This window comes from Homo sapiens, chromosome 22, assembly GCF_000001405.40.
Source record: "Homo sapiens chromosome 22, GRCh38.p14 Primary Assembly".
In the NCBI taxonomy this organism is placed as follows: domain Eukaryota; kingdom Metazoa; phylum Chordata; class Mammalia; order Primates; family Hominidae; genus Homo; species Homo sapiens.
Genome location: NC_000022.11, coordinates 32,498,830 through 32,503,172, shown reverse-complemented (window position 1 = coordinate 32,503,172; position 4,343 = coordinate 32,498,830). Strand labels below are relative to the sequence as shown.

The 4,343-nt window shown below is 43.9% G+C and overlaps 4 annotated features.

Moving 5' to 3' along the window:
- Positions 267–953: an enhancer, noted in NCBI's record as "NANOG-H3K27ac hESC enhancer chr22:32898207-32898893 (GRCh37/hg19 assembly coordinates)". NCBI's record gives its function as "activates a minimal SCP1, AML or CMV promoter by ChIP-STARR-seq in primed H9 embryonic stem cells {active_cell/tissue: H9 hESC(primed)}" and the evidence as "EXISTENCE:reporter gene assay evidence [ECO:0000049][PMID:30033119]".
- Positions 954–1,640: an enhancer, noted in NCBI's record as "H3K27ac hESC enhancer chr22:32897520-32898206 (GRCh37/hg19 assembly coordinates)". NCBI's record gives its function as "activates a minimal SCP1, AML or CMV promoter by ChIP-STARR-seq in primed H9 embryonic stem cells {active_cell/tissue: H9 hESC(primed)}" and the evidence as "EXISTENCE:reporter gene assay evidence [ECO:0000049][PMID:30033119]".
- Positions 3,999–4,168: an enhancer, noted in NCBI's record as "experimental_63244 CRE fragment used in MPRA reporter constructs". NCBI's record gives its function as "activates a minimal promoter by MPRAs in K562 erythroleukemia cells, with activity observed for both the introgressed and non-introgressed 22:32895077 or rs73170400 variant alleles {active_cell/tissue: K562}" and the evidence as "EXISTENCE:reporter gene assay evidence [ECO:0000049][PMID:34662402]".
- Position 4,083: a transcriptional cis regulatory region, noted in NCBI's record as "Neanderthal adaptively introgressed variant 22:32895077 (GRCh37/hg19 assembly coordinates) or rs73170400 in the experimental_63244 CRE". NCBI's record gives its function as "modulates activity of the experimental_63244 enhancer by MPRAs in K562 erythroleukemia cells {active_cell/tissue: K562}" and the evidence as "EXISTENCE:reporter gene assay evidence [ECO:0000049][PMID:34662402]".

Below are 4,343 nucleotides of genomic sequence, written 5' to 3'. Positions count from 1 at the left end.
TGTGAAGAGACCACCAAACAGGCTTTGTGTGAGCAACATGGCTGTTTATTTCACCTGGGTGCAGGCCGGATGAGTCCGAAAAGAGAGTCAGCAAAGGGAGATAGGGGTGGGGCCATTTTATAGGATTTGGGAAGGTAATGGAAAATTACAGTCAAAGGGGGTTGTTCTCTGGTGGGCAGGGGCGGGGGTCACAAGGTGCTCAGTGGGGGAGCTTCTGAGCCAGGAGAAGGAAATTCACAGGGTTAATCACTCAGTTAAGGTGGGGCAGGAACAAATCACAATGGTGGAATGTCATCAGTTAAGGCAGGGCAGGGTCTTTTCACTTCTTTTGTGATTCTTCAGTTACTTCAGGCCATCTGGGCGTATACGTGCAAGTCACAGGGGATGCGATGGCTTGGCTTGGGCTCAGAGGCCTGACAGCCCCCAAGAAGGTGAGGTGACTACAGGGCTGTGAGCTGTAGGGGAGATGCCATTGTCAGCATCGGTCAGGGAGGTTGGAGTGAGCAGACCAGGACAACTCCACAGCTTAAGCAGCAAAGGTCTGGGACCAAGGAAAGGAAGCACACAGACTGTGCTTCACACAACAAACACAGCAGAGTTCCAAACAGCACAGCCTCAGCTCGAACCAGCCCAGGAGCACACAGTGTCCTTTCAGGTTCTGCCCCTTCCAGCCCCTGAGGGCAGACTAATCTCTTATGCTTTATTCAACTTTGTAAAACACTGGTGGCTCATTTTATGTGTTTTGAATTGGTGAAAGGATGCAGGTTAGTCACGGGTTAAGCTCATTAAGTCAGCCTTGCAGATACAAGTGGTGGCTTAATTATCCTGGAGCAGAGCTCATTGCCTGAGAGCACTTTAAAAGAGTCTCCGCTTTTCCTTTATCCTAGAGGGCAAGCAAGCTGGCTGGTTACTAACTATATTGTCAAAAGCTGTCCTAGACTCACTCCTAAGTTGCTGCTGATTAACTGTTCAGTCTAATATCTGGACTCTAATAGAAGGCAGCACTTTTGGTTTGGTAGGAGACAAATTGGAAGGCTGGGCATCAAGTAAGTTAAAGTCGTCCATTTATCAAACACAATGCATAAGAGACACAGAGGCTCCCGTTTCCATGGACGAGACACGCAGCTGAAAGAGATGAGCTGTGGACACTTAGACCTTGTATTGAGATGAATTGGCAGGCCAAGAGGAAAAGAAGAAAGTGGTTGGGAAATATTTTTTGGAACTGGTGAGGCATTCCTGCAAGGGAAATCAATCTAAAACTAAACATTCTTTCCACAATGTGTGTATGAAATACACTTACTTTATTTTATAGAGATGCGGTCTTGCTATATTGCCCAGGCTGGTCTCAAACCCCTGGCCTCAAGCAATCCTCCCACCTAGGCCTCCCAAAGTGCTGGGATTACAGGTGAGAGCCACTGCACCTGGCTACACGTGTTTTAATCCTTGAAAATCCTCAATCCCTTTCATTATTTTTATACTGATTGGTCTTCCCAACTGTAATTTGTTTCCAGACTCTCATATTCTAAGTGTCTGTTCTCCACGGTCTTTCACTGAGTCTAGAGCAGAAGCAAGGTCACCATTCTTTGGCACTCAGTTAACATACTATGTTTTGCTATGGCTTAGCAGAAACTAAGTGCTGTAACCTATTGGGAATCTCAGGAGGGACTTTTTTGTGTTTTTTTTTTTTTTTGAGACGGAGTCTCACTCTGTCACCCAGGCTGGAGTGCAGTGGCGCAACCTCGGCTCACTACAAGCTCCACCTCCCGGGTTCACGCCATTCTCCTGCCTCAGCCTCCCGAGTAGCTGGAACTACAGGCGCTTGCCACCACGCCCGGCTAATTTTTTGTATTTTTAGTAGAGACAGGGTTTCACCATGTTAGCCAGGAGGGTCTTGATCTCCTGACCTCGTGATCCGCCCATCTCGGCCTTCCAAAGTGCTGGGATTACAGGTGTGAGCCACCGCGCCCGGCCAGGAGTGACATTTAAGCTAGTCAGTTTAAATCAAATCTTTGTTCTATGTGACTTACCCAGTACTTCCCAATAATCTTATCCACTCCACACCTTCTACAGTCAACTGAAGACTACCCAAAGGAGCACTGCTCATGCATATGGCACAGCAGAGCACCGGGACCTGCCCAGCTCCTCTCTGAAGCTCTGTAATCAGGCAGCTACCAAGGAAGAGTCAGACTTCAACAGTTTTTACACAAGGAATCTCAAAATCTTAAGTTGGAAGGACACCTTCCATGATTTGATTCCCAGCCACATAAAACCTGTTATCTTTCATTTATAAATGGGGGGAATGGGGCAGAGAAAGCTCCTGTTAATAAAAGAGGAGGCCACGCGCAGCGGCTCATGCCTGTAACCTCAGCACTTTGGGAGGCTGAGGTGGGCAGATCACGAGGTCAAGAGATCAAGACCATCCTGGCCAACATGGTGAAACCTCATCTCTACTAAAAATACAAAAATTAGCTGGGCATGGTGGCGGGCACCTGTAGTCCCAGCTACTCAGGAGGCTGAAGCAGGAGAATCGCTGGAACCCAGGAGGCAGAGGTCGCAGTGAGTCGAGATCGCACCACGGCACTCCAGCCTGGCGACAGAGCAAGACTCCATCTCAAAAAAAAAAAAAAAGTTGGGGGGAATAAGGGGCTACAGAAAGGCATAGGACAAATCAGTGATGTTGAACCACATCTTACTAAGATGCTTTGCTTGCTGTGGCACTCTAAACTCTCTTGCTTGCTTCCATGACAATACATCCAGGTGATCTCAGAAAATTGTGCAGTGAATAGGCTACTGTGAAACTACGACTTTCCTCTCATTATACACCAGCAATACATACAGCTCAACAGTCTCAGTTTAATGACAAGAATGTAGGATTTCACAAGCTTCTAACCATAAATTCAGCTTTTCAAGAGCAAATGCTTTGAGGATCGTCTTAAGAATTATAAAAAAACTATTGTGAGAGATCTGCAAATTTAGGTTTAGGCCACTGCTGATATCCTAAACTAAGTGAGATCTGTAATGTCTGCAAGTTAGTCAGAGGTGAGGATGGAAAGCAGCACCAGTATCCACAGGACACCAGCACCATCCATGGAGTTCTCAAGGGCCACTCAAAAAAGCCTGCATTCTGAACACTTGTTGTTTTATAGTATTTGGTGCTTCTGGTCGTCACCATGTCCTCCCACGCCCACTACACACATACACACATCCCCTGCATAGTGCAACATAACATTGCAAAGCCACAAAGAAATGTATCAGAGAACTAGTATATGGACCCAACAAAGCTTCAGGAGGACCTTGTTAGACCCAATTAAAGCCATATGGCATCTAGTGAACACATTTTTAAAAGGCTATCCTGTAGCTCAGAAATTACAAAATACCACAGAAAGAAATGTCAACAACTCCAATTCTTTACTACACATTAAGCTACTAAAAGTAACAGGCCTCAAGAAAATCGTATTATTCACTGCATTTTCTTCACTGTGATAAAAAAAAAAAACCTCAATATACATGTGTAGCAAAAAAAAAAATTCACTTGTATGTAGGACTCAAAATATTCTTGCAGCACATAACATTCCAAGCCATTTCCTTATATGCAAAACAGAATTTTTAAAAAAGCAGGAAGACATTGGCAATATTCCTATTTTCTGTAGATGCTAGTAGTGTTTTATTCCTATGTTGTGAATCAGATTGTCACTATAGCATGTTTCTACAGTTGTTTGTGTAAGTCATTTGTGTTTGGCCTTTTTCTTGTAGAAAAAATAAATCTTGAATTTTGTGTATTTAAGTCTGAAAAGCAAAATGTTCTTCAAATAAAAGGCTATCTTTGAAGAACAAGTACCTGATTAGCACTCAAAGCAGTAAAACTTTTTAAAAAGGTATCTTCTACTTAAGTTACAAATTAGGGGCTAAGTGTTCAAAACACAAGGAAAACAAAATCATAACCACCTCATCCCAGGAGCCACAAACAGGAGTCCCTAATACCAAATGGCCTTTCAACAGCATTGCTTCACAGCCCAGAAAGTTCCACCACAGAACCCAAGAAAGAGCTGCAGAGAGAGAGAAGTCGAGAGAAGAGGTGGATTTGAGTAGGTGTGTAGCCAAAGCACCCACCCCAAGTCCAGTTCAACCAAACTAGCTCTGTTTTCATTCATTTCATAAATCAGGCCTTTATTAGAAGACAGAGCGCTGCTAAAAAAAAAAAAAACAAACAAACAGAAAACCCTTACAAAAATTATCTGCCTATGCTATGTTCTCTGATAATTCTGAAATGTCCAAGTAACATTGTGTATCTGTTCTGAATATTTACTACATATCTTTCTGTAATAAAAGTCAAGACCACCATG